The sequence below is a fragment of the Homo sapiens genome, chromosome X, assembly GCF_000001405.40.
Source record: "Homo sapiens chromosome X, GRCh38.p14 Primary Assembly".
Taxonomy (NCBI): domain Eukaryota; kingdom Metazoa; phylum Chordata; class Mammalia; order Primates; family Hominidae; genus Homo; species Homo sapiens.
The window spans coordinates 129,906,164-129,933,778 of record NC_000023.11 but is presented as its reverse complement, the minus strand read 5'-3'; the positions used below and the strand labels follow the sequence as shown (position 1 = coordinate 129,933,778).

The 27,615-nt window shown below is 47.0% G+C and overlaps 1 protein-coding gene and 1 long non-coding RNA gene across 5 annotated transcripts, besides 7 other annotated features; one reads left to right on the top strand and one right to left on the bottom strand.

Annotated features, from left to right (window-relative positions):
* Positions 1 to 5: 5 nt before the first annotated feature.
* On the top strand, positions 6 to 26,515 carry LOC105373335 (uncharacterized). The gene is made up of 3 exons (NR_188631.1): positions 6 to 85; positions 3,884 to 4,021; positions 25,226 to 26,515. It is a non-coding gene; the product is annotated as an uncharacterized LOC105373335 (long non-coding RNA).
* Positions 947 to 1,416: a silencer, noted in NCBI's record as "silent region_20984". NCBI's record gives its function as "represses an Ori minimal core promoter by ATAC-STARR-seq in GM12878 lymphoblastoid cells {active_cell/tissue: GM12878}" and the evidence as "EXISTENCE:reporter gene assay evidence [ECO:0000049][PMID:35858748]".
* Positions 1,447 to 1,606: a silencer, noted in NCBI's record as "silent region_20983". NCBI's record gives its function as "represses an Ori minimal core promoter by ATAC-STARR-seq in GM12878 lymphoblastoid cells {active_cell/tissue: GM12878}" and the evidence as "EXISTENCE:reporter gene assay evidence [ECO:0000049][PMID:35858748]".
* Positions 1,617 to 1,696: a silencer, noted in NCBI's record as "silent region_20982". NCBI's record gives its function as "represses an Ori minimal core promoter by ATAC-STARR-seq in GM12878 lymphoblastoid cells {active_cell/tissue: GM12878}" and the evidence as "EXISTENCE:reporter gene assay evidence [ECO:0000049][PMID:35858748]".
* Positions 1,777 to 1,866: a silencer, noted in NCBI's record as "silent region_20981". NCBI's record gives its function as "represses an Ori minimal core promoter by ATAC-STARR-seq in GM12878 lymphoblastoid cells {active_cell/tissue: GM12878}" and the evidence as "EXISTENCE:reporter gene assay evidence [ECO:0000049][PMID:35858748]".
* Positions 1,937 to 2,176: a silencer, noted in NCBI's record as "silent region_20980". NCBI's record gives its function as "represses an Ori minimal core promoter by ATAC-STARR-seq in GM12878 lymphoblastoid cells {active_cell/tissue: GM12878}" and the evidence as "EXISTENCE:reporter gene assay evidence [ECO:0000049][PMID:35858748]".
* Positions 2,417 to 2,536: an enhancer, noted in NCBI's record as "active region_29931". NCBI's record gives its function as "activates an Ori minimal core promoter by ATAC-STARR-seq in GM12878 lymphoblastoid cells {active_cell/tissue: GM12878}" and the evidence as "EXISTENCE:reporter gene assay evidence [ECO:0000049][PMID:35858748]".
* On the bottom strand, positions 4,027 to 27,615 carry UTP14A (UTP14A small subunit processome component). 4 transcript variants are annotated; one of them, NM_006649.4, is made up of 15 exons: positions 27,543 to 27,615; positions 26,337 to 26,412; positions 25,649 to 25,719; positions 25,045 to 25,109; positions 22,629 to 22,771; positions 21,858 to 22,013; positions 14,485 to 14,604; positions 14,290 to 14,384; positions 13,199 to 13,322; positions 13,027 to 13,104; positions 12,192 to 12,585; positions 8,584 to 8,984; positions 7,667 to 7,860; positions 7,440 to 7,539; positions 4,027 to 4,443 (listed from the first exon to the last, which is right to left on the bottom strand). In NM_006649.4, the coding sequence occupies exons 1-15, from the start codon at positions 27,566 to 27,568 to the stop codon at positions 4,171 to 4,173; spliced, it is 2,316 nt and encodes a 771-aa protein (NP_006640.2). In that variant the 5' UTR covers positions 27,569 to 27,615; the 3' UTR covers positions 4,027 to 4,170. The 4 variants fall into 4 exon arrangements, with proteins under 4 accessions (NP_006640.2, NP_001159693.1, XP_047297746.1 ...); NM_001166221.2 differs by lacking the exon at positions 21,858 to 22,013; XM_047441790.1 differs by lacking the exons at positions 21,858 to 22,013; positions 22,629 to 22,771; positions 25,045 to 25,109; ... (1 more) ...; positions 26,337 to 26,412; positions 27,543 to 27,615 and adding exons at positions 20,384 to 20,469; positions 21,069 to 21,200.
* Positions 7,996 to 8,045: a silencer, noted in NCBI's record as "silent region_20979". NCBI's record gives its function as "represses an Ori minimal core promoter by ATAC-STARR-seq in GM12878 lymphoblastoid cells {active_cell/tissue: GM12878}" and the evidence as "EXISTENCE:reporter gene assay evidence [ECO:0000049][PMID:35858748]".

Here is a 27,615-nt window from a genome sequence, read left to right as displayed (position 1 = left end):
CCACCAATCACAAGGGATCCATTGAGTGAGCCACTGCAACAAACAGGAACCCCTTCAAAGAGCTTCCAGTCTGGTGGGTAAGTAGGTAAGACTGAGTGAGGGCTTGGGAGAAGAGGTTCGGGCGAGGAAACACGGTCAACTTGGGCATCATCGAAGACTTTTTATTCTTTTTTTTTTTTTTTTTTTTTGAGACAGAGTCTCACTCTGTTGCCCAGGCTGGAGTGCAGTGGCGCGATTTTGGCTCACTGGAACCTACACCTCCTGGGTTCAAGCGATTCTCATGCCTCAGCCTCCCGAGTAGCTGGGACTACAGGCGCCCACCACCACGCCCGGCTAATTTTTGTATTTTTAGTAGAGATGGGGTTTCGCCATGTTGGTCAGGGTGGTCTCGAACTCCTGACCTCCCGTGACCCGCCCACCTCGACCTCCCAAAGTGTTGGGAGTACAGGCGTGAGCCACCGAGCCCGACCCGATCAGACTTTTTAAAAGTGTCTATTGGCATGTGGGTGGGTGGCTGGGTGTTCTGTCGACTTGAGCCACGTCCCTCACTCTGGGTCCGGCGAGGTCTATCCAAGGGCTCTGCAATGCGTAGTGGGGAGAACCCTGGGCGGAGAGGCAGGGATCCGTGGCGCTTGGCGTGGGCTCGCCCTCTTTCCCTGGGTGGCAGGGACGTGTCACTAGACCTCGCCTCTCCGGGTCTGACGGTCGGCTTAGGATCCCTCACGGCTTGGGCATTTTCAGGACAGTCCCCCGCCCTCCTCCCGCCAGCCGCGAGTCTCAGCTGCGCTTCGCGCGTTGGTGGCACAGGTTTGGGGCGGGAGCCGGGAGGAGGCTCCGGATCAAGTCATCCTCGGAGATAAGGTCGCGGCGACTCCCCGGGACGCGCCGGCCCGGCCTGGGCTGCGGGAGGAACCGCGGCCGGCCCGTCCCCCAAACATTTCCGACGGGCCCCTGCGCCCCGCGAGGCTTCCGAGGGCCAGGCTGGGCGAGGGACACCCAGCCCGGCTCGGGTTCGCGCTCCCGGGCCGCCAGCCCGCCTGTCCGCGAGGTGCCTGCGGCCACGGGGCGCCGAGGCTCCCCGAGGACGGGCTGCGGGCTGCGCGCTGCGCTGGGCCGGGCCGCTGCAGGGCCTCGGCGAGCGAGCGAGCGGAGCGGGGCGGCGGGAGTGCGTGTGTGGGGAGACCGCGCGGGAACGCGAGCCGCCGGCCCGGGAAGGGTGGGTCGGGGAGCGGCGGCTGCCGCAGGAGGAGCGACCCGGGAACCGGAGGCCGGCCGGGCTGGCGGGCAGGAGCCGCGGGGGGGAGGGCGGAGCGCGGAGGGCGGAGACGGGGCCGCGGAAGGGAGGGGGCCGCGGGGCGCGGCCGCGGGGCGGGGCGCTGGGACCTGGGGAAGATAAGAGCGTGCTCGGGGGAGTGAGGGCGGGAGCGAGGGAGGGGCGGGGGACTTAGAGACCAAAGAGGAGACAAAAGGACGGGGTGGGTGGGAGGGGCATAGACGAGCGGGGGTAGGGGAGGGGCGCCGGGGGACGCCTCGCGGGGAGGGGTGTGTGTGTACCGCGGGGGGGCATAGTGTGGGAGGGACTTAGAGAGGGACAAGAAGGGACAACATAAGGGAGCGCGGGGGTACGGAGAAAAGGGGGGCGGGAGTGCTCCACCACGCTGGCCACGAAGGCGAAGGGAGGCCGCGAAGGAGAGGCCGCTGGGACTGGCCACACACAGGGACGGGGGTCCTGGGGATGGACAGTCAGCGAGGGAAGGGGGTCGGAGCTTCCGCGGTCTCGGGAGGGGAAGGGGGAGCCGACACGGGAAAAGGGGGTGGTGCGGGGACCCGAGGGTGGAGGCGGATGGGCGTGTGTGCAGCGCTGAGGGCAGGGATTTAACGCAGCTCTTCGAGATGACCCAAAGACCACGGTGGGGGCTGCACAGACGGGACGGGGCTACCGATGCAGGAGGAGAACTGCCCAGGGGAAAGTGGGACCTACAAGGATTAGAGAAGGGTGGCGGGGGCGGCCTCGGACTCGGCAGGAAGGCGCCACCACCGCCCTCTGCCCGTCCCCAGCGTGCCCCGCCCCGTCCGGGGGCCCTAAGGGCAGCGGCCTGGGCCGTGGGGGAGCCGAGCCAGGGCGGAACCATTCGGAACAGAGAGGGGGGCTTGGGGGGAAGGGAGGAGCCAGGGGTCAGAACCCTGTTGGGGGCGGGGGGGCGCCACACCCTGGGAAAAAGGCTTGGGCACATCCAGAGTGGACCAATCAGCGAGCAAGGCCAGGGTGGCGTCAAGGGGCAGCTTCGGCCAATGGGAAGGGAGAACACTTCGGAGGTTCGGAGGAAGAAAAGAAAAAAAAGCCCCACGAAACAACAATCGAATCTGTTTGGGGGCTTGGAAGGCTGGGAATGGGCGTCGTTTATAGCACGCTCTGGCACCTGCCTTCTCCTTTGAAGGATGGGGTGGCTTGCATCACTCCTGGGTAGTGGGGAGCAAACGGAGCTGAAGAGGGTCCGGGGAAAGTAGACGGGGATTGGCCATTTACCGGGGACACTTGATTGGGCGCCTCAATTTGGGGGGTGGGTGGGACGGAGGTAGCAGCTTTGTGCTCAAAAGAGTGCAAGAGAATGTTGTGGTCTCTTAAACGGAGGCAGGAGTGGGCAGGGCTCCCGCATCCCCTACCACTGGCTACTGACTTAAGTGTCAACCAGCGAGTGGATCGTGGATAATCTCAAGCCAATGGATACTTAAGCATGCCTTTTGGGCACTGAACACTGCTCAACATACTCATTTCCCTTACCTTCCCAGTCCCAGGTTGTTTCTTAAGAGGATGAGCAATAGTAGGGGGCCACAGGGGACCCCACTGGGGAATTCATATAAATTTATCCTTTGGCTTTTCACTTCAGTTTAATGTGTAACACTAGATGCACGCTCTATTCTGAAAATTTTCTCTTATAAAGATAACTGGGACTAGCTACCATTGAGGTCTAAACGTTTTGGAACTGATTTGGAGAGTGGTGTGCTCAGAAGGCCGTATCTGTTGGGGGGATTGCAAAAGAAAACTTGGAGTGGTACAGCTTTTGGCCCAGGGATTCCAAATGTCTTGAAAACCCCTGAAACTGTATGTAAAATGCCATACAAATGTGTGTGTGTGCACATTTTTCTGGAGACGGTTCATAACGTTCAACATATTTTTAGAGGGGCCTGTGACACAAAAATGAACCCACTGTGGTCTAAGAATACTGGGGATAGGACTGAATCTCCAAGGTAGGAGGCAAGGTGCAGTAGTGGTGTCATTTTGGAATCAGAGGGGTTTCCCAAATTCCTTGTTAGGAAACTCAGCTGCAGGGGCTCTTTCCGTATATTTCTTGCCATCCAAAGCCAGGCCAAGTTCCTCAGAGCTGAGAAGCCCATGTGAACTGTCATATAGCAAAGCAATGCTTGAATAAACTACACTTTCAATCAATGGTGAGGAGTGGGCCCTGAGTTAGGAAGGAAAGGCAATAGAGGTTTACTTCTGAAATCACATCTACCTTTATCTACAAAATAAGGGTCAAACCTCCTGGTCTTCTTATGAGAAAATAAGTAGAAGGTTATATATGAGATATTGTAGACAGCAGCCTGTACAAGCTGGGAAGCTCACACATGTGAAAAAAATGGCTGTGGCTAGACTTGTGGGGACAGAACCCAGCTTCGGCACCGTCCTGGTCTTAGGATCAGTCTAGGGCAGAATCCAATTGCAGTTTGTACATCCTCTTTCTAGGTTCAGAGGTTAAAATATACAATATTTTATCATTATTAACCCTGTCTCTTCAAGTTGGCAGTTATTAATGGTGGATCATATCTGATGTGATATATTTAAGGTTACAGACTACAGTTAACTTTCTCCATTTCGATTTAGGACCAACTACATAATCCTTGGTAAGAAAAGGAGGTGGCCCTGACAAGTGCAACTCGAGAAATGCAATGCTGTAGAGTCCAAAGGTGTCTGACTTGAACGAAATGATCCCACTGGGGGACAATGCAACATATACTCCAGGTAAATAGATTAAAAAATGCCTTTATTTTTAAAATGTGGCTTAACTACATGCAATGTACTGAGCCAGTTTTGGAATCCACCCTGTATCAGAGTAAAACTGGACCAAAGGAAGTGAAGTCAGGGCTCCTGGCTGTCACTCCTCCAGCAACTCAATCTACAGAGCATTTCTTCAGCTGTTTTTTGTGACGTGTGGTGATTCGTTTTGGATTCCTCTGTATGACAGACAGGTCCGACCTTGAGGAAGACCGGTAGCCCACGTCTTCTGCTTTTATGGGGTTAATGATATGGCCTGGCTTGGTGACGACCTTGGGAGTAGTCAGCTTTTGGAAAGCCCTCTGGGTGTTCCATGTGGATCCTATGGGGGTCTGGATGGTCCTTTCAAATTGCCAATGGTGGGTAAATGGATATGGAAGCACTCGTACCTGGAAAGGAAGGAGAATGATTTGGTATGAGGCAGGCCTGGGGTGCAGTTGTATACTGTAATGGCAGCTTTCATCAGGTACTGTTTTGGTACAGGCCACGGTTCCACATGATGACTGCAAGTGAAGAGACTGAGAGGTCAAGGCGTCCCATTGCTCCCATCTGCCCTTAGGAATTCAATCTGTTTGATGACATTTGGGAGTAGGGGGGCCTGAGTTGGCTCTGGATCCCCCATCTATTCAACAATTCAGGGTCTGAAAAACCACCCTGACACTGCCCATCTTTGTTTTTCTTTTTTTTGAGACAGAGTCTCACTCTGTGGCCCAGGCTGGAGTGCAGTGGGGTGATCTCTGCTCACTGCAACCTCTGCCTACCAAGTAGCTGGGATTACAAGTGACACTGTCCCTATCTAGCTACAGGAGCTCCAGGGCTGTTGTCCCAGAGTGAGCTTTCCTATGTAACACTGTGACTGCAAGAATCCAGACCATTGTGTATCCCTGTGGATTTTATGACTTTTCTACCCTCTTTATGCTTTCAGTCTCCTCCTTCCCTCTCTTAGGATTGATATTTTTTTTTTGTTTTTTGAGACGGAGTCTCGCTCTGTCGCCCAGGCTGGAGTGCAGTGGCACGATCTCCGCTCACTGCAAGCTCTGCCTCCTGGGTTCACGCCATTCTCCTGCCTCAGCCTCCCGAGTAGCTGGGACTACAGGTGCCCACCACCACGCCCGGCTAATTTTTTGTATTTTTAGTAGAGACGGGGTTTCACCGTGTTAGCCAGGATGTCTTGATCTCCTGACCTCGTGATCCACCCGCCTCAGCCTCCCAAAGTGCTGGGATTACAGGCGTGAGCCACCGCGCCTGGCCAGGATTGATGTTTTAAGGAACCCGAATCCTGAACTCTACCAGGCCGTTACACTTAGTTTCATCTTTTTTTTTTTTTTTTTTTTTTTTTTGAGATGGAGTCTCGCTCTGTCTCCCAGGCTGGAGTGCAGTGGCGTGATCTCGGCTCACTGCAAGCTCCGCCTCCCAGGTTCACACCATTCTCCTGCCTCAGCCTCCCTAGTAGCTGGGACTACAGGGGCCTGCCACCATGCCTGGCTAATTTTTTTTTGTATTTTTTTTTTTAGTAGAGATGGGGTTTCACTGTGTTAGGATGGTCTCGATCTCCTGACCTTGTGATCCACCCGCCTTGGCCTCCCAAAGTGCTGGGATTACAGGTGTGAACCACCATGCCCGGCCCACTTAGCTTCATCTTCTTTTGGCACCACAGAATGTAGAGCTGGAAGGCCCTAGATATTGACAATGGTCATCTCCCTTGGCCTGAAGATTTGGCTTAGAGGGGGGAAGTGATGGACCTAAGTAAATGAGGAGCAGCATTGGAGAACAGAACCCAAAGCTCCTGTTTCCTTGCCTGGTACTCCTCCACCACATTGCTACCTTCAGACATTAAATAATCTTTCAACACTTCCCCAGTGGCCAAAGGAGGAAAACACGTAAGCAGAAAATGGGGATGTAAAAATCAGTAGTCTTTGGCAGGGTACGGTGGCTCACACCTGTAATCCCAGCACTTTGGGAGACCGAGGCAGGCAGATCACTTGAGGTCAGGAGTTCAAGACCAGCCTGGCCAACATGGTGAAACCCTGTCTCTGCTAATAATACAAAAATAAGCTGGGTGTGGTGGCGCATGCCTGTAATCCCAGCTACTCAGGAGGCTGAGACACGAGAATAGCTTGAACTTGGGAGGTGGAGGTTGCAGTGAGCTGGGATCGTGCCACTGCATTCCAGCCTGGGTGACAGAGTGAGACTCCATCTGAAAACAAAACAAACAAACAAAAATCAGTAGTCTCTGGAAACATTCAGTGGAATACTCAAGAGAAGCTAAGTACTATCAGGTGGTCCTGGTAGTAGCAAAGGAAACAGATTCTCTTTAAGTTAAGGGAATGTCTTATTTGGGTTGACGGCTACATCTGTGCTTGTCAACCAGGGCAACAGAAAAAGAGAACACCTGGACAAAGTATTCAGTCTCAGAAGTCCCCCCTAGGCACCTTGAAGCACTTTATTCTACTGCATGTTGGAACCTGCAGTAACTTATTAAAAAGATGAAAATCAGGGGAGATTCCTAGAAAACTATTTGTCAGTTTGCCATGACTGTATTAAAAAAACAAACAGACCCCTGGAAGGGAAGGGTGGTCTTTATTGAGCTCCATACTCTACCCATCACCTGGAATCCTGGCCCACTGAAGCACCCTTTCCCCCCTTCCCTTATCGTGTAACTGCCTATTTTCTAGTTATATAGGTTTAATTGGGACTGCAGTAGTTATGATTCAGTTTCTGCAGTGATTGGTTCACAAAATAAGATCAAAAAGAATGTTATTGAAATGTGTATCTTCTTACCTCTGTTCTGTAGCCATTAATTCTTTATTCCTTCCGAGGGAAAAATGTAACTCATTTCAATATACTGGCTGGGGACAGATCTCAGAATTGAAGGGAACATAAAGGTCATCTAGTCCAATCTCGTTCTTGAGTCCCCTTTACACATTCTCATACTCCCAGAGCAGCCTTGAATTCTGTATGTCCTCTAACTTCTACTTTATGTGACTTCATACAATAACCTTCGATATACTTGAACACCGTAATCACGCTCAAATTTTCTTCTCTTGTAAACATCCCTAGCTCATTATCATGTGACACAACTTACAATCTTCTCATTCTCCTGAACAAGTACCGGTTTGTCTTCATTTTTCTTAAGCTACAGCTTAAACCTTATAGCCTCTGTTTGAGCATTACCTTGACTCTAAACTTTTTTCCTGGCCAGTAATTAAAACAGCGTAGTCTATCTGAAATGATAAATCTAACAGCCATTCAGTGAAAACAACAGATTTGATTCTGCGGTCAAGATCACACGTCTCTCTTGACTACAGATCACTAGAATACTCCTCTCAAGCAAGAGAGCCAGGCAGTAACAAGCAGGCAGCTAAAGAGCTCTCTAAGCTCTCACCTGATGAGCAGCTGCGTGGATGTTGCGCTTCTCATTGATAATCACATTTGGCAAATTCTTATCTTTTCTTGGAGGACCCTCAGGGGCTTTAATGAGAAACCTGGAAAGCAAAACAACAGGACATCTGACTAGGAGCATTAAGGACTTAGTCAAAAGGGTAGGGAGGACACCGAAGGGCGAGGGGAGAACCCGGTGCCCTTTTGACAGACTTTCTTCGGCATTCTTACCGGCGTCTTTTCTTGGCACTGGGCTTTAGGCCCACACCACCCCACTCGCCCCAGCCAGGTAGTGTCAGGTCCACGTCCTTTGGCTTACTCGCCTCCACAGCTTCCCTCTTCTCTTTCAAGAAATCTCTGATGACATCATCCCCAGCAAAAGCTTCCTTTATCATCTGCCTATGGTTTCTCTCCTCTTCATCTTCCTGGGAAGAAACAAGCGAGAGCTACAGCTTGGCTTATGAGCTGTGGTTCATGGCGAGAACGCTTGAATTTCGGGTCGTGACATTTTAGCGCCCCCTAGGGGGAAGTGCTGAACAATGATGGTCTTGCGATACAAACCAGTGCACAGCCAATCATGCTCAAATTTTCTTCCCTCTAGGGTAAATATCCCTAGCTCATTATCATATGACACAATTTTAAACTTTTCAGTAAGGAAGCTGCAGGGTGGAGGAAGGAATGGCCCGTGTTAGCAGCAGGAGCTCTAAGTGGCCAGACTGTAGGCTTCCTCCAGCTTATATCCCTGAAAAGACAGGTGCCAGGACGCTTCACTTTAAGTTTCAGATTAACTGGGGAGTCTTAGACCATCTGAGATCCCACTGAATAAAACTTTCGCAACAGTTCAATGACTCACCTTCAAGTTGTCCTGCCTGGGATCTGGTCAGAACTCTGAGTTACTCCCTCTTACCTCTGAGAGCAGTTTTAGAGTCACCCCAGAGGAGTTTTTGTGGATCAGGCTTTCGGAAATAGGGGTCTTGGCAGCACCCATATATCTGCATCTATTAAAACGTCACTGGGACTAGCCTGGCCCTATACTATTCTGGACCTCTAAACTACTGAAATGTGCCCCCAGCAAAACAAAGCTTCATTACTCCTTGCGCAAGAACGACACTTTCTGAACAATGGCCCACCACCCTGGCTCTGCTCACCAGCTCCTCTATTGTGGGAACTGCCAAAGACTTCACGGAGGGAGATTGTGTGGTTAGGAGGTTCTGTAGGTCGATCATTTGCTCCTTCTTTTTCTTCTCCTTAGGGGCATCAGGGCGATTATTTGGGGTCCTCTCTGACTGCTGCCCTTCTAACACAGGTCTGGGAAGCTCCTTATTTTGAAAACATTCTTCTTTTCCCAGCTCTTCTAGCTCTTCCAGCGTCTGTACTCTCTCTGGTCTCTGTAGCAACAGGGGCTCCTCTTCTTCTGGGGCAGGTTCCTCTCTCTGGACCTGGGGAATAGTCCCCTCTGAACTTGCTTTTTGCTTCCTGGACTGATGGTTTTCCTTCAATTTCTGAGATAGTACTCTCAATTCAGACAGCACCTCCTGGCTGCCAGAATCTGGGGGAAAAAAGAATGAAAACTGTCAGAAAATGAGGTTTGTACGTTGTCTGGTCGGTAAGCATTTGTTGAGCACCCACCAAGTGCTAGGTACCACATAAGACATTATAAAAAGGACAAACGGGGAAAAGAAGATTCTGTACATTGAATCTCCTAGACAGTACACTAATCATAGCAGGCAACGGAGTTTGGTAATTAAAAGTAGCATGTGGCCAGGTGCGGTGGCTCACACCTGTAATCCCAGCACTTTGGGAGGCCGAGGCGGGCAGATCATGAGGTCAGGAGATCGAGACCATCCTGGCTAACACGGTGAAACCCCATCTCTACTAAAAATACAAAAAATTAGCTGGGCATGGTGGCATGTGCCTGTAGTCCAGCTACTCAGGAGGCTGAGGCAGGAGAATCACTTGAACCAGGGAGGCAGAGGTTGCAGTGAGCCGAGATTGTGCCACTGCACTCCAGCCTAGGTGACAGAGCGAGACTCCGTCTCAAAAAAAAAAAAAAAAAAAAAGTAGCATGTGAGATGTTGGATATGGTGGCTCACGCCTGTATGCCAGCACTTTGGGAGGCCAAGGGGGCAGGATAGCTTGAGCCCAGGAGTTCGAGACCAGCCTGAACAACATAGTGAGAACTCATCTCTACCACCTCCACCCCTCCAACAACAACAAAAAATTTCCAGGCATGGCGGTGTGGATCTGTAGTCCCACCTACTTGGGAGGCTAAGCTGGGAGGATTGCTGGAGCCAGAAGGTCAAGGCTGCAGGAAGCTGTGACTGTGCCACTGCATACTAGCCTGGGCAACAGGGCAAGACGTCTCAAAAAAAAAAAAAAAGTAGCATATTGGAAGCAGACGTCCTGGGTCCTATTCCCAGCTTTGCCAATGATCCACTGTATAACTGGGACTGTGGCTTAAGTTCCTCGTGCAGTAAACCCTGCTTGGGAAGATTGCCCCAAGTTCCAAATTTTAAAAAAGGAAGCCACTTTAACAGGTGGCTTCTCAATGTAACTTCATTGTAATTTATGCTTCACTGCTTGTAAAAACCCTATCCAGGATTTTCATCTTGACTCAAGAATTTCTACTCCATATCTTAAAGCAGTATTTCATAATCTGCTGTGGCTGAGTCAAGGGATGAAGTAGCTGCTTTATCCAGTGGATGTAGCTCACACTTTCACTGGCAACATCTGAGCAAATAACACTAGTCTCAAGAGTCTGGAGGGGCTGGCTTGGCACAGTGGCTCACACCTGTAATCCCAGCACTCTGGGAGGCCGAAATGGGTGATTCACTTGAAGCCAGGAGTTTGAGACCAGCCTGACCAACATGGCAAAACCCTGTCTCTACTAAAAATACAAAAATTAGCTGGGCGTGGTGGCATATGCCTGTAATCCCAGCTACTTGCAGGCTGAGGCAGGAGGATTGCTTGAACCTGGGAGGTGGAGCTTGCAGTGAGCCGAGGTTGCACCACTGCACTCCAGCCTGTATGACAGAGACCTGTCTCAAAACAGTCTGGAGGGAAACCTGGCAGTGACATGCTTCTAAACTGTCTTTTTCATTGACTCAAGTTGCCTCCATTCCCAAGTTGATCCTGCTGTCTAGCTTTGGCATGAAGCCATTGTAGCTCCTTAGATCTGGCCTTTGGACACATGTACGTTTATTTCTCAAGAATCAGGTTTCCTTGCTCATTTTCACTGGGGTCCGTGGCTTTCCAGTATTTTAGGACACTCTTGGAAGGTGTGAGAAAATTCAATTTATTTACTGTCCAAGGAAATGCAAATCTATCTTTCATTCTTTCATATCACAGTCAGCCGCTCTGCACATTTAGCTAGATGGCCAGTTGTTGAGGGGGCTCAAGAGAAAGCCACTAGGGTCCTGTGGTCATATATGTACACCCCCACAATCTCAGCCCGCTGTGCTGCTTTCCAAAATTCTCTCAGAAGTGACTACTTGCAATTATTAATCCCAAAAATATCCAGCCAAAACTATTAAGTAAAGGTCCCTATAATATATTCTAAATGATAGCTCTTTTAAAATAAATTTTTGTATGTGGAAACCTGAAAAAAAAAAAGGAAAAAAAAAAGGAGGCTGGGTGCGGTGGCTCACACTTGTAATCCTAACACTTTGGGAGGCTGAGGTGAGAGGATAGCTTGAGGCCAGGAATTCAAGACCAGCCTGGGCAACAGAGCAAGACCTCAGTCTCTACAAAAACTTAGCTCAGCATGGTGGCACGTGCATGTAGTCCCAGCTAGTTGGGAGGCTGAGCCAAGAGGATCGCTTGAGCCTGGGAGGTCTTAGGCTGCAGTAAGGTATGATTGCACTGCTGTATTCCAGCCTGGATGACAGAGCAAAACCCTGTCTCTTAAACAAAAAAAAGTAGAAAAAAATAATTCTTTTGCCGTGTAAAACCAGATTTTTGCCATCATCTAAATGCATTCCTATGTGAAACCAAACCAGACCTGGTAATTTGTCCAGATAGCCAAGTGATTTCTCAATGTAGCTAGTTTCCTAGGCAGGTTTTTTAGTGTCCTGGTTTATTGCCAGAATGGGAACTCTCTGACCAATCTCACAGGTGCTAACATTGTCAATAAGATCTCTTCAAGATAACAGGTAGAAAATATAACATACAAATAGAGCCTGAGTATGGAGTCACAATTCTAATTTGCCATGTGGCCCTGTGGAGTCATTCATTCCGTAAAGTCTCACCCCATGTATACACACATCAACTAGCATTAAGAAGTGCTAAAAATGCCACTCCTACTTAACCAACAAAACAAAAAAATCCAGCAACTAGACAATGTTTCCTAATGTCTCAAAATTGACCTATCTGTGTCTACAGGTGTGAATGGACTTTCAGATTTGCCATTCTACCATACGTACTTCTCCCTGGTGTGTAGGTACCAGGAACGCTAACTCATACCCTGACTTCGAGTATGGTTTAGTTATTATGGGTTTCTGAAGGCTGTAAGCCCCCAAGAACAGAAAATGTGCCTGAACCACGTTGCACGGCCATGCAGATGACTGCTTATTAAATGTCTTCGAAGAAAAATAGTTATGAATCTAATTTCTCTTCAGGGATCCAGTGTACGCACTCTTGCAAGTCCCCAGCGCCTAATCACTATGCAGTTTTGTGTGTGGGTGGACACATTTTTTTTTTCTCCCATAGTCTGTCCACAGCACTAGGAATTTCCCTCTTCCATTTGATCACAGCTCACCTTTTGTTTCTTGACTGCCTGCTGGCTCAGCATCTTGGCTGAGCTCAGATCTTTTTCTAAGGGATCGCCTTTCCTCAAATTCTCTCAACAAAATTTCTTCTTCTGCCACTGGTCTTTCTTCTCCCTCACTTTCAGAAACTCCATGGGCCTCAAGCTCTGGCAGTTGCTCAGGGTCCTCCTGGGTTGCAGCCTCTTTGGTGTCACTGGTGCAGCTCCTGAGCATCCAGGGATTCGGCCCATCTGCATTCATCTGCACTTCATTCACTACATCAGGGACAAGGAGTTCTTCCACATCTTCTGTGCCTCCCTCCTCTTCCTCACTCTCAGAGGCTACCTGGAGTTTCTGTGTCAGTTCTTTGTTCTTAGACAACTGTTCCTGCATAGCTTGGCGAGCCTGGAGGAAAGAGTCACAGCATGAGAGCCCTGTCATTAGTGACCGCAATAACACCTTTCCTGGTCCATTTCATAAAGCTGCCTCCTCTCAATTTGACTTGGTGAGTATTTCTTACTGGTACCTACTGTTTAAACTGCATATACAATGCTGGGTTAATAGCTATGGTATAAAATGGAAGACAAATTCTTTGTCCTCAAGGAATCAACGGTGAAATAAGATTTTAAAAAGCTCCTCTCCCCCTTTGGACTTGCCTTCAATGCTGTTTCCCTTTCATCTCTCCTTTTCCACCTTGTTCCTGGTCATTTTCCTTTCTGCCTTAGAGATTTTTCTGATGCCTTTTTAGATTCCTGGTTTTCCATCCATCCTCATGGCTCTTCCCCAACTCTGCTTCTGCTAGCATCCTCCAATTCCAGATCTTCTCTCACCCCAAGGGTCTCTTACCTCCAGGTCATATTTGGCCATAATTGCCTTTGACTTGGCCCATTTCCCACTGTTTTGGTGCTTAAGGCTCATTCTTTCCTAGAAAGAAAGGACAGAGTGAGATTTACATCTTTAGTGCCTTCCAAGGAAAGCTGGTTCAAAGGGGTGGGGGTGGGGCAAGAGGTAGTCTCACCATCATTCTGGCCTTTTCAATTTTTTCCAGTTCTTCTAGTGCTGCAGCTGGATTAACCTTCCGCAGCTGCTCAAACTCTTTTAGGGCTTTCTTGGCCTTTCCTTTCTTCACGACTTTGTGATACCTGTAGGGGTAGGAGGGAAGAGTTTAGCAATTTAGCTGAAGCACGGATGTCATAGGCACAAGTGCCCATACTACCCAATGGGTTCCCTAGGCAGGGGGCTGGAATGGGCATCATAGAGCTAGTTGGCTATAGGGAGTCAGTTTGGGACCTGACAGGACTGGCAAGATTCTTGGTACCCACAGTCCTCAGGGTGGACCTCTGCAGCTCAAAGAGTCTCCTTTGCCTCTATAACTCAAGGGAGGGGTAGAACAAGTTTCATTTTTTTTTTTAGACAGGGTCTCACTCTGTCACTCAGGCTGGAGTGCAGTGACATGATCTTGGCTCACTGCAGCCTCCACCCGCTGGGCTCAAGCGATCCTCCCGCCTCAGCCTCCTAAGTAGCTGGGACTATAGGTGCACATTACCATGCCTGGCTAATTTTTGTACTTTTAGTAGAGATGGGGTTTCGCCATGTTGGCCAGGCTGGTCTTGAATTCCTTACCTCAAGTGATCCACCTGCCTGAGCCTCCCAAAGTGCTGGGATTACAGGTGTGAGCCACCGTGCCCAGCCAGTTTTGCCATGTTGCCCAGGCTGGTCTTGAACTCCTGAGCTCAAGTGGTCCATCCACCTCGGCCTCCCAAAGTGCTGGGATTACAAGCATAGCCACCACACCCGGCCGAACAAGTTTCAAAGAGGCAAAAAGGCAGGAAGGAAGCCCTATTGGCCTTAACAGCTCTGGAATTCAGAGCTGATTCTGCAGAACCACTCTGTGATGCCTTGGAAGGCAGAGAAAGTAACTGAATAGTCATCTTTTTGGCAAAACTGTATGAGGTTGGTTTGGGGGGAACAAAAGGCTAGTCACTCCTGTTTGGGACCTCATCTGCATGACTCTAGTTGCTGCATCAAAGGTTCTCTCCAAAGAATTCATGATGAACCACATGACTTTCTTCTGTGGAACCCAAGGCCAGTTCACAGGGGCCTCCTTACTTTTTACTTTTGATTTTCTTCTCTCTTCGAGCCTTGGCCTCATAGTAGGACTGCAGAGCCCGAGCCCTCTGAAGCTCTGCTCGTCGCATCTTTGCCTACAACAAATGAGACTTACAGTGACACCTGGGCCAGAGGACAAATGCTAGGAGAAGCGTGGCATGCCTGGGTGTGCTGAAGGGCCTATGACACACTTACCTCTTCTAGGCTCATGGCTCGGAGAGAGGCCTTTTCCACAGGGGTCAGTAAAGGGTCTGTCACTGGCTGCTTGTTCTTATGGAGGAGGTTGAAAATTTCCTGCTCCAGGGGAGTTCTTGCCTTAAAGAAGCAACAAAACATTCTGAGTCTTAAGCCATGCTCTTACAGCTTTCTCTCTTTACATTCCTATGATTCTCTAACTTATGACACTATAATTGGAATCATAAGTGGATAGGATTGGCTGTTACAGCAAGAGAAGGGGGTTCCAGTCTTGTTGTCAGAAGTATAAATAAAGCCTTATTTGATTCTTATATAAGACAACTTCAGCAGGGAGACGCTGAGGCTACTCTCTAATACTGCTGAGGGGGATCACTGTGTTCAGGTTACCAATATATGTTTTTTTTTTTCTTTTTTCTTTGAGATGGAGTCTTGCTCTGTCGCCCAGGCTGAAGTGCAGTGGCGTGATCTCGGCTCACTGCAAGCTCCGCCTCCTGAGTTCACGCCATTCTCCTGCCCCAGCCTCCCGAGTAGCTGGGACTACAGATGCCTGCCACCACGCCCAGCTAATTTTTTGTATTTTTAGTAGAGACAGGGTTTCACCGTGTTAGCCGGGATGGTCTCGATCTCCTGACCTCGTGATCCGCCCGCCTCGGCCTCCCAAAGTGCTGGGATTACAGGCGTGAGCCACCGCGCCGGCCCAGATTACCAATATATGTTAAACTGATTTCCATTCTCTTAAGAATCTAGGCACATTGCCCTTGAGTCCCTGTATTGTTATGTATCATTTGAAGCACATAACTATTACTTTATAGTTAGGAATCTCAAATTCATATCATAAGCCTTCTTTTAGAATATTTCTAGAGGGAAGGGGCGGTTAGTTTTTTTTTTTTTTTTTTTTGTTTTCTGAGACAGAGTCTTGCTCTGTCACCCAGGCTGGAGTCCACTGGCACTCCAATCTCAGCTCACTGCAACCTCCACCTCTAGTGCTCAAGTGATCCTTCTGCCTCAGCCTCCTGCGCAGCTGGGACCACAAGTGTAAGCCACCATGCCTGGCTAACTTTTTTTATTTTTTGTAGAGACAGGGTCCTGCCATGTTGCCCAGGTTGGTCTTAAACTCCTGGCCTCAAGCCATCCTCCTGCCTTGGCCTCCCAAAGTGCTGGGATTACAGGCGTGAGCCCAGCATGCCCTGTGAGATTAGATCTTAAGATAAGCATTATTTGCCACTGATGGTATACCTAGGACATATATCTGCAAATGTCTCAGAGGGGAAGCCCAACTTTTTTTGACCATAGCCAACTGCTATAAACCATGCATATAAGTGTTCTTGGTATCATTAATTACTGATGAAAGAAAATGAGAAAAAACATGGCATTTTTTTGGCAGAGTCTTCAAATGTAGTTTGTGGTGGGGTGTGTGTCTTAATTTCTTGAGCACAAAAGGATATTGCCTGAAAAAAAATATAGGATGGGCATGGTGGCTCAGGCCTGTAATCCCAGCACTTCGGGAGGCTGAGGCAGGAGGATTGCTTGAGCCCACAAGTTTGAGACCAGCCTGGGCAACATGGTGAAACCCCATCTCTATTTATTATGTTAAAAACAAACAAACAAAAAGACCTTCATGTAATCAGCCTGTTTCCTGATGGTTCAAGTTGAACTCTCCTCATTTTCTAACTTTGGCTCCAATTCCTCAGTTTCCAGTTAATTTTACATGCTAGGCAGAGTATGTATGAAACGAATGAACTGTAAACCAGTTATTCCACATGCTATCATGAGGATGGCTAAATATTCAGGCCGATCATGCCACGGTCCACATTCTGGCAAGGCACAAAGACAGCCCTAGGCAACAGAGCTAGTTTCAAACCTCACACACATATTATGTGTGGTTTTCTTCAATAGCCATATACATCGTGGTCAGTATTAAACTTACAAATATTTGGATAAATGCATAAACGCACATCATCACATGTTACACGATGCTATTGATTTAACCATAAAACTATTCTACTGAATAGTAAAGGTATATGTTCTTCCACTTTTAGTATTTGCAGTAGTGATCAATCTCAGGCTACAAAGTGATTTATACTACAATGTTGTAATGTCCCTTCAATTCAATTCAATTTACAAACATTTATTGATTGTAGCTATATTCCAGGCACTTGTATGGGGTGCTAGGAATACACAATTGATTAAGATAGTTCCTGTCCTCATAGAGCTCACAGCCTTTGAGAGCAGAGACATATACAACACAAACAGCATAACATAATGGGTTAAATACCCTTTATGTTACCCTTAAATAACATAACTGCTACGTTATTCTATAGGGGTAATCACAGAGGAAATTACCATTAAATATTATTGGGAGGTAGGTTAGGCTTAGGGAAGGAAGTGACCTTTTGAATTAGGCTTTGAGGCCTAAGTACAATTCTGTCAGGAGGAAAAAAAATCCAAACAGATGAGCATAAGCAAAAAACACAGACACAGGGAAAGGAGTGGTATGTAATAGAACAACGTGTTGTCCAGCATAGCTAAAATGCTACGTAATTTTATTTTATTCTGTAAGTGAACAGCCTTTGAAGGATTTTAAGCAGGAGAGCAATGATCAACTGTGTTTCAGCAAGAAAATCCTGCTGATTGTGTAGAGGATATATGTAAAGTTCCAAAGGAAAGGTTCAATGAGGGCCTCGATTAGGGCAGTGAAAATGAAAATGAAGAGAAAATAGGAGCATAAGGGCTATTACAGAGACAGAATTTGCAGGTCTAGCCCCCTGTATAAGCTGGCGGAGAGGGAGACAGTGAAGGGGTCAAGAAGGAATCAAATGACTGAGGTTTCCAACCTAAGTGACTGGGGTAGGGAGTTATGCTGTTAACTGAGTTGCAGAATGAAGGGGGTGGTATAGGTTTTGGAAGTCTGGGGAAAGGAAATGCGAAGCTTACTTTGGACTGGACTAAGTTTAAGGTGCATATGGGGGACCCAGGTGATCCCTGCTAGTCACATGGAATATGAGACTGGAGCTTCAAAGAAGGGGTTGAGAGTGATAGTCGAAAGTTATGAAATTTTCACTCCTGTAATCCCAGCATTCTGGGAGGCCGAGGTGGGCGGATCACGAGGTCAGGAGATCGAGACCATCCTGGCTAACACGGTGAAACCCCGTCTCTACTAAAAAATACAAAAAATTAGCTGGGCGTGGTGGCGGGCACCTGTAGTCCCAGCTACTTGGGAGGCTGAGGCAGGAGAATGGCGTGAACCCGGGAGGTGGAGCTTGCAGTGAGCCGAGATTGCACCACTGCACTCCAGCCTGGGCGACAGAGCAAGACTCCGTCTCAAAAAAAAAAAAAAAAAAAAGTCATGGAATTTACAGAGCAAGAATAAAAAGGACTAAGGAAAGCCAGAGAGAGAAAATACCCAGAGTATATCACAGAAGCTAGAGGGGAGAGATTTTTAGAATGAAATGTGCCAATGGTGTCAAATATGCTAAAGACTAAGAGGGCTTGGGATTTGGCAATTCGGAGGCCCCTCACTAATGCCTTTTGAGAGAAGTTTCAGTAGGGCAGTAGGGGAAGAAGGTGAGAGAGAGGAGGCAGCAGTGGAGACAGACCAGCTCTTCCCCAAACACATTTCTCATCAGATAACAAGATTTGCCTCCCCTGTTAAAAGCTTAAAATTCAATTTTTTTGAAATTTTAATAAAATCAGTTTGTACACCCTAAGTTAAATTAGATCCAACAGGTGTCTTCACCATTGTTTCATAGCCTTTTTTTTTTTTTTTTTTTGAGACAGAGTCTCGCTCTGTCGCCCAGGCTGGAGTGCAGTGGCACGATCTTGGTTCACTGCAAGCTCCGCCTCCCAGGTTCATGCCATTCTCCTGCCTCAGCCTCCCAAGTAGCTGGGACTATAGGCGCCCGCCACCGTGCCCAGCTAATTTTTTATATTTTTAGTAGAGACGGGGTTTCACCGTGTTAGCCAGGATGGTCTCGATCTCCTGACCTTGTGATCCACCCACCTCAGCCTCCCAAAGTGCTGGGATTACAGGCGTGAGCCACCACGCCCGGCCCATAGCCTTTATTTTTATTTTTTATTTTTGAGACAGAGTCTCACTCTGTTGCCCAGGTTGGAGTACAGTGGCCCAACCTTGGCTTACTGCAACCTCCGCCTCCTGGGTTCAAGCGATTCTGGTGCCTCAGCCTCTTGAGTAGCTGGGATTACAGGCATAAGCCACCACGTCCAGCTAATTTTTTAATATTTTTTAGTAGAGACGATGTTTTGCCACGTTGGTCAGGCTGGTCTCAAACTCCTAACCTCAGGTGATCCACCCGCCTTAGCCTTCCAAAGTGCTGGGATTACAGGCGTGAGCCACCACATCCGTCTGGCCTGTTTCATAGACTTTAAAATGCTAAAGCATGTTGTGACTCTCCGATCTCCAGTAGGGGCATGCAGCATTTTCTAGCAATGCCTCCTCTCCTCCTCTTGTGAAGGCATAATGAGAGACTAAGGTTTCAAGGAGAATGCCTTGGGAAATACCACTGTAGACAGAGAATAGTGAGGAGAGGGGTGAAAGAAGTTACCTCACAGCATTTCTAGCACTTTGCAGTTTACAAATGCCTTCTCATGCATTATCCCACTTAATTATTTGCAGCTAAACAAAATTTTAGGGAGCTGGACCAAAACTATAGTACAGACTTTCGATTTTCTTTTCTTTTTTTTGGGGGAGGGCGGGGAAAGAGTAGAGGGTTTTTTTTTTTCCTCAGGCTGGAGTGCAGTGGCGTGATCTCGGCTCACTGTACCTTCTGCCTCCTGGATTCAAGAAATTCCCCTGCCTCAGCCTCCTCAGCAGCTGAGACTACAGGCATGTGCTACCATGCCCGGCTAATTTACATATTTTTAGTAAAGACGAGGTTTCACCATGTTGGCCAGGCTGGTCTTGAACTCCTGACCTCAGGTGATCCACCTGCCTCAGCCTCCCAAAGTGCTTGGATTATAGGCGTGAGCCACCGTGCCTGGTCTGAGACTTGATATTCAGTTTCTAGAAATCCTAATACAGCATATACTAGTTGTTGGTACTTTGCAATCTAAGTTGTAAGGAGAGACCTAGGAGTTGCTAGCCACAAAGCACCCTCTGAACTAAGCACTTCCTTATTTCTCTGTGCCCTACTAGCATAATTTCTCAAAAGTCAGTCTTAGAATGAATGAACGGCATGGTATATTCAATGTATGACATCTGAGCCTCACTCTATCTTGAAGAGGTTGTTCTATTCTTAGTGTAACCTCCTCCACTACCATCTAGTTTTTATTTTTTATTTATTTATATATATATTTTGAGACAGAGTCTCATTCTATTGCACAGGCTGGAGTGCAGTGGCACAATCTCGGCTCACTGCAACCTCCGCCTCCCAGGTTCAAGTGATCCTCCTGCCTCAGCCCCCCTAGTAGCTGGGATTACAGGCACACACCACCATGCCCCGCTAATTTTTGTATTTTTAGTAGAGATGGGGTTTCGCCATGTTGGCCAGGATGGTCTCAAACTCCTGACCTCAGGTGATCCACCTGCCTCGGCCTCCCAAAGTGCTGGGATTACAGGCGTGAGCCACCACACCCGGCCCCATCTCGTTTTTAATAACAAACTTGGCATTTTCCTGCTATCTCCAAGATTACACTGTCATTTGGAAAAAGCAAGGTGGAGGACAGTGTGTAGTAGCATGCTACCCTTCTTTTTATTTAAAAAGGAGGTAAACATGAATATAGAAATAAAACTCTAAGACAACAACAACAGCAAACTTATGCAAGTGGTTACTTCTGGGTGAGTATGGGGGTAAAAATGATCAGATGGGGCACGGGTGGAATCAAACTTTTCACTACATATCTTCTATGCTTTTTTATTTTTGAATCCTACAAATTGTATTACCTCTGATTTTTTTTTTCTAAAGTCTCCCTTCATCCTGCAGCCACACTTTAAACCTGATCTCTTTTTCATGTAGAAAAGGAAGCCTCCTAGAAAGAGAATGGTAGTGACTTCAGCAAAAACATCAGAAACAGCTTATCCCCATAATAAGCAACTACTCGCTCAATTTCTAGCTATTGTGGCAAGCAATGTTTACTTTGATTAGCTTTAATTAGCTCAACTTCCCAACGCCTAAGAAACTACCATTCTTGGGTTTTTGGAAAGTAAAGAGGAGAAGCACAAAGAGGGCATCTATTTAAGACTAATCAGCCCATTATAGACTCCATACCAATGGTGTATTGGAAAAGTAGGCTAGCTGTTCTAAAGCAGTTATTCGGACTAAAAACCGGACTTCAGGGACCAACATAGGATTTCCAACTTCTAATTTTGCCAAGAGCATAACTACCATTTCACCCCCAATCCCATCATTTACTACCACCATCATTTCATAGAAGAAAAGATATTTCAACACCATTAAAATAGAATAACCTCATAATAAAAAAGAACTGGCAACATTACACCCACCAAACAAACATACTTAGAATTATCCTTTTGCTTCAGACACAAACTTTGTTAGGGGTCAGTGTTTGGGAAACCCAGCTCTAAAACATCAACCCCTGCCCTGCAGCTCAGAGTCATAGTAAGTTACCTGCTGAAGTTCTAGTCATTGCCAGCAACACATTATATTTTAATGCGGTATTCCTGTACAAGCAAAGTTTGGCTTCTGTTGTTCACATATCCTCACTAAGGCATCATTAATGTTATCGAGTTCCTGATTTCCCTAGGATCAGAATGTGGCTTTAAATGCTTTTTAAAAACTGGGGTAAAAGAAAGAAAACATTATTATGTTCCTGCTATACGGGCAATCACATGGTTTAACACAAAAACATGGAAATAGCAAGTACTGTATACTACAAGCAGATGAAAAGTGACACAGAGACCGGGCGCATTGGCTCATGCCCGTAATCACAAAACTTTTGGGAGACTGAGGTGGGCGGATCATTTGAGGTCAGGAGTTTGAGATCAGCCTGGCCAACATGGTGAAACCCCATCTCTACTAAAAATCCAAAAAAAAAAAAATTAGCTGGGCGTGTTGGTGCACGCCAGTAATCCCAGCTACTTGGGAGGCTGAGGCAGGAGAATTGCTTGAACCCAGGAGGCAGAGGTTGCAGTGAGCTGAGATCGTGCCACTGCACTCCAGCCTGGGCGACAGAGCAAGACCCTGTCTCAAGAAAAAAAAAAAAAAAGTGATCACAGAGCTATTGTGACTGGCTATCACATGACTGACAATGACGATGGGCAACCCCTTCTTTCTGAGCACTAAGCTAAAATGACTTATGCTGGGGTTTAGCTTAACATGTCCAATCAAATCAATTGCAGGCTCTGAAATCTCCAACTTATAAAATCTCACCTTTCAGTTTCATTTTGTTGTACTCACCTTCCAGCCACTGAGCACATGTTCAATGGGAGCAATGGCTGGCTCCTCTTTCTCCAGGGGAAAAACCAGCTGCTCTGCCTGCCGGTTCTTCAGGACGACAGGGTCCCATTTGGAGAGGACTTGTGCGGTTTTATTGAATGCTACTTCTCTGTGGATCTGAAGCAGGCAAGGCATGTAAACGGAAAGAGCCACAAGATTAAAGCATCAAACCCAAAGGACTAACAAGAAATTAGGAAGCAACATTTCTTAGCCCAAGAAAGAATCAGGATGCTAGAATCAGGATGAAAGAATCAGGATGCTAGTCCTCTTGCTTCTCAGGACTGCAATTTCTCCTAGATTATTATTATTATTTAGATGGAGTTTCACTCGTGTTGCCCAGGCTGGAGAGCAATGGTGCAATCTCAGCTCACTGCAACCTCCACGTCCTGGTTCAAGGGATTCTCCTGCCTCAGCCTCCCAAGTAGCTGGGATTACACCACACCCGGCTAATTTTGTATTTTTAGTAGAGACGGGGTTTCACCATGTTGGACAGGCTGGTCTCGAACTCCTGACCTCAGGTGATCCGCCTACCTCAGCCTCCCAAAGTGCTGGGATTACAGACGTGAGCCACCGCGCCTGGCACTCCTAGATTATTTTTAATCTTATCCATAGTGGGGAAATCACAACTCCCCCTTCTCCCATTTTTCAGGTCTTTCCCTTCTTTCTATTACCCTATTTTCCCTTGTCAATTCAATTTCTTTCCCTTAATAGACCACCTTCTCTGTAGCTTACCCGTTCAATCTCTTCTTTGTTCAGAGGTAACTCCACTGTCTTCTTTGATTTGACTCTACTCAGTTGCTTTTTCACAGTGGCCAAAGAAGATGAAGTTTTAACAGGCTCAAGCAGATCTGCAAGGACCAGCTTTTCTCCTGATCCTGTGGAAAGGTCAAACTTTCTGGTCAGACCAAGAAGTGAGACAAGATCTCAATATAATGTAGGGAGAAGCCTCAGTAGAAAATGCCAGTAGATGGCAAATGTGCAGAGAAGCAAGAATAATTCTCTTACTTCAATTGCCTATTTCTAGCCATGCCAACACTATCACTCTTCTACATTCATCCCCAAACGTGTTAGGGGGTAGAAGATAGGGGAAAATATTTATTCAAAACTCATTTGCTTTTCTCCTGGTGCTTCTACTCTTGCCCCATTGCAATTCATTCTTCACATAACAGCCAAAAATAAAAACAGCCAAAGTGATCTTTTTGCTGTTGTTGTTGTTTGTTTTGAGACAGGGTCTCACTCTGTCACTTAGGCTGGAGAGCAGTGGTGCCATCTCTGCCTCCCAGGCTCAGGCAATCCTCCCAAGTAGCTGGCACTATAGGCGCGTGCCACCACGCGTGGTTAATTTTTTTAATTTTTTTTTTGTAGAGATGGGGTTTTGCCATGTTGCCCAGGCCAGCCTCAAATGGCTGGGCTGAAGCAGTCCGCCCACCTCGGCCTCCCAAAGTGCTGGAGATTACAGGTGTAAACCACTGTATCCAGCCCAAAATTATCTTTCGAAAATATAAACCACAGCATGTCATGACCCTGCTGAAAATCCTCCAGTGACTCCCCATTATACTTTGAATCTCATCTACCTAAAGGACATGGTCCTATGAGATCTAATCCCCATCTGCCTCTCTAACCTCATATCAACCCCCACCCTCTAGAATGCTTTTGTCACAGGGGCCTCTTTCCTATTCTTCAACATGTTGTGCATGTTTCTACCTTAGAGCCTTTGTGCTAGCTGTTCCTTGGCCTGAAATGCTTTCCCCAATCTTTGCATGGTTGACTTGACTTGTCATTCAGATCTCGGCTTCAATTTTGCCTCTTCAGGGGCCTTTCATGACCAACCGATCTAAAGTAGCCACTTAGTTGCTTTACTGCATCATCCTCTCTTATTGTCTCCCTTCATTAGAATGTAAACCCCATGAGCTCACATCTTATTCGCTACTTTAACCTTGGTATCTACAACAGTTCCTGATACTGCTACCTAGTAGAAACACAATAAATATCCACTGAATAAGTACGCTTGGAATACATTGTTATTTGCCCTAGGAGGCTACACCAGTGATTACTACAAATGCAAGACCCATTCTAGCTGCCTAAGTTGTGAACAGGGTGAAAAAGATTTGGCATCTAGACTCAGTATTAGGATAAAATCCCATGGCTGCCGCTTATTAGAGCATGTATTCTGAACAGGGGCAATTTTACCACCCCGCCACCCCAGGGTGAAAATTGGTTCTTTCTGGGAGAGTATGAAAAAAATCTTAGATATTACAATGTTTTGTGTCCCTCCAAGGCTCAACTCTGTCCAACAAACTCTTATTCCTTAGGACTTGATTTCCTGGGGAAGGGGCACAGGGGGAGGGATACAATGAGGAAAAAAATGTCTTGAGGCCGCGCACGGTGGCTCACGCCTGTAATCCCAGCACTTTGAGAGGCTGCGGCGGGTGGATCACGAGGTCAGGAGATCCAGACCATCCTGGCTAACACGGTGAAACCCCGTCTCTACTAAAAATACAAAAAACTAGCCAGGCGCGGTGGCGGGCACCTGTAGTCCCAGATACTCGGGAGGCTGAGGAAGGAGAATGGCGTGAACCTGGGAGGCGGAGTTTGCAGTGAGCCAAGATCGCACCACTGCACTCCAGCCTGGGCGATAGAGTGAGACTCTGTCTCAAAAAAAAAAAAAAAAAAAAAGGCTTGAAAGGCTCCTCTCAGGGGAGCAATAAAAAAGCAAAGGTTGAGAAATACTGTACTAGGCAAAGGCCCTTGAATAAGTAATGTGACCTCTCTGAGCTCTGGCTGAAGAGAATATTTGCCTGTCTCCTAACTCAAAGCATTGTTAAGAGAACTGAAATAAAAATGAAATTGTACAAATATGAATTATGACTAAGTTACTAAGAGGCAGCTGTCTTTATTCATGTCCATCTATCCTATAAGTATCTCATCAAACTCTGTAGGATACCTTGACCACAGCCTTCTAGGCTTTCTTTGAGAGATGGAAGAAACTGAAGGGCATCTGACTACACTTCTTCACCCACTCTCCCAGGTATTTATGGTATGAGTCATTAACCACATCAAAAACAGTTCCTAGGGGGGGTGAGGTGAACACAATGCCCTTGGAACTCCACAGGTTTCATGCATGGGTATCTTCCTTTGTTCAACTTACCTTCAGAACTGACATTGAACTCTGACACCTTCAGACTAGCCTCAGACCTCTCAGCCAATTTCCGCCTGAAATTAGGCAAAACGATATAATAGGAATGAATAAATTTTATGGGGGCTTGGGGTTGGGAGAGACAAACACTTCTCTCTTCAAACAGGGCTTTGGTTTCTTGTATTTCTTCTAGGGTCATGTTTTGTCATGATGCAGCAAGGAGATCTGTTCCTAACTTGGACTTGGTTGTCTAACCCTCATCTCTTCTCTTTATTACAAGGTAAGCATAGTGGAAAACATATTGGACTTAGATTCAAACACACCTGAACCTGTAACTTATGAGCCAGGTGACCTTGGGGGTAAGTAAATTTATTTCTCTAATGGGGTTAAATAATGCCTACTCAATGCTTTAAAAGATTTTCAGTGTGGAATAAGACTGCAAATGCTTACAATAATAGCACTAAGACTAATAACAGCTAACAGTTAATTATATAATGCTTACTATATGCTAGGCACTGGTATTAAGGTCTTTACATGAAGCACTCAATAAATATTAGCTGCAGAGAAATCTCACGGAATTGACTATATAACCTGCCCTAACTGACGGGAACGTTACCTATTCTTTCCATCAAGGGAACTGATTGCTTCCAGAAGCTTTTGATGCTTTCTCTCTCCATCATTGTCCCCCTAAGACACAGAAAAGGAAAAACAATCAGGATGAGGGGGAGGGAAAAGACAACATGGAAATTGAGTCTCATGTAAAATCTCTTGTTATTTATTTATTTATTTTTGAGACGGCGTCTCGCTCTGTTGCCCAGGATGGAGTGCAGTGGTGTTATCTTGGCTCACTGCAAGCTCCGCCTCCCAGGTTCATGCCATTCTCCTGCCTCAGCCTCCCAAGTAGCTGGGACTACAGGCGCCTGCCACCACGCCTGGCTAATTTTTTGTATTTTTAGTAGAGACGGGGTTTCACTGTGTTAGCCAGGATGGTCTCAATCTCCTGACCTTGTGATCTGCCCGCCTTGGCCTCCCAAAGTGCTGGGATTACAGGCATGAGCCATCACCCGGGCCTGTTTTGGTTGGTCTTATAAATTATACTTATGCAACTTGAGGGTAGTGATTGTAACTTAGTTTCCAAATCCTCATAGCACTTAATATGATACAGTATCTTATATATGAAACACTAACCATTTGCAATTTATTTGAGAGACCTGAACAAATACATAGAACATTGTCACACCCTTCCATTCCAGGAATGTGCTCTCTACCCTAATTTTGAAGGCAGTTTAGCAATTGTCACCCACCTCATCTTCACTCTCACTCAAGAGGTAGTCTTTTGGCAAATCCGCTAGTTCTTCCTGTTGGCTCAAAGCCAGAAGGCTGTTAAAAGAGGCAACAGAGAAATGTGAATGCAATATACCCATGTAACAAACCTGCATATGTATCCCTTAATTATAATAAAAGTCGAAATTAAAAAAAGAAATATTATTATTTGAAGCAATGTCTAATCTATTAAAACAATCTCGAAAACATTGTAATTTCAGCACAGAATAGCCCTATCCCTCAGAAGATATATAAAGCAGCGTGAATGCCTTTGGAAACTTGTCAAGATGTGAAATTTAGACTGAAGTCAGGCATCACCTCCAAGAGTGATGCCTGACTTCAAAACTGCATGTAAAAGAGCTATCACTTTTCAGGGATTGGCACAACATTTCCTATGACCTATGGGAAGCTGTAAAAATGTCAGACCCTAGAATAATATGGCCAAAGACGCTGTTGCTAGCTAGCCCTGGAGGCAAGGCAGTTTCACGATTAATATTTCTAAGCATCCTCCATATATTTGACTCATTGATAGGCAGCCTAATCAAAAGTGTTATCTTGATCCTTGTTCCCAGGAATGGAGAAACAGGTCGAAAGCAGCTGGGTAAGCCACTTTCCCTGGGGCTTGCTTAGTAAAGTAGGTGCTTAACTAAGGAGATTGGTACCCACAAACAAATTATAAAATGTACCATTACCTAACAGCATATATTATTAGTATTTGCAAAGCCAACATTACTAAACGGACTACATTTAGTTCCGGGGGCGGGGTGGGGGGGGCACAAAACATCACAGGAGCCAAAACGTGGTGGATGACTCCAATCAGCAAAGCTTTCCAAGATTCGGGGAGTTTATAACGCCTGCACTGCCTGCGCAGAGGATTAAATCGGGCCGCGACAGAGGCAGAAAAAGGGGCCACGTGACGAAAAATGTGAAACACAGTAAATGAGCTGGGGAGGCAGAAACAGCATCAGGACCAACAGGGATGCGGCTATACAGCTGAGGAGCGGAGTAAGCGAATGAAATTAAATTAAAAGGGCTTTAAAGGCTGGATCGCGGAAAATAGGAACGAATGGCCAGCTCTTCAGGGGAACCACTGCCATCTGTTAAAGGGGGGGCTCCCATTTCCCAAAAGCTGGGGAACCCGGCCCCCAACGAGACCCAGAATCCCCCCTCCCCTCGTTGCCCTTCACCTCTCTGCAAGCCGGTTCGCAGTCATTTCAGCAGCCAGCTTCTCTCACATGGACCAAGAACGGAAGCCGAAGG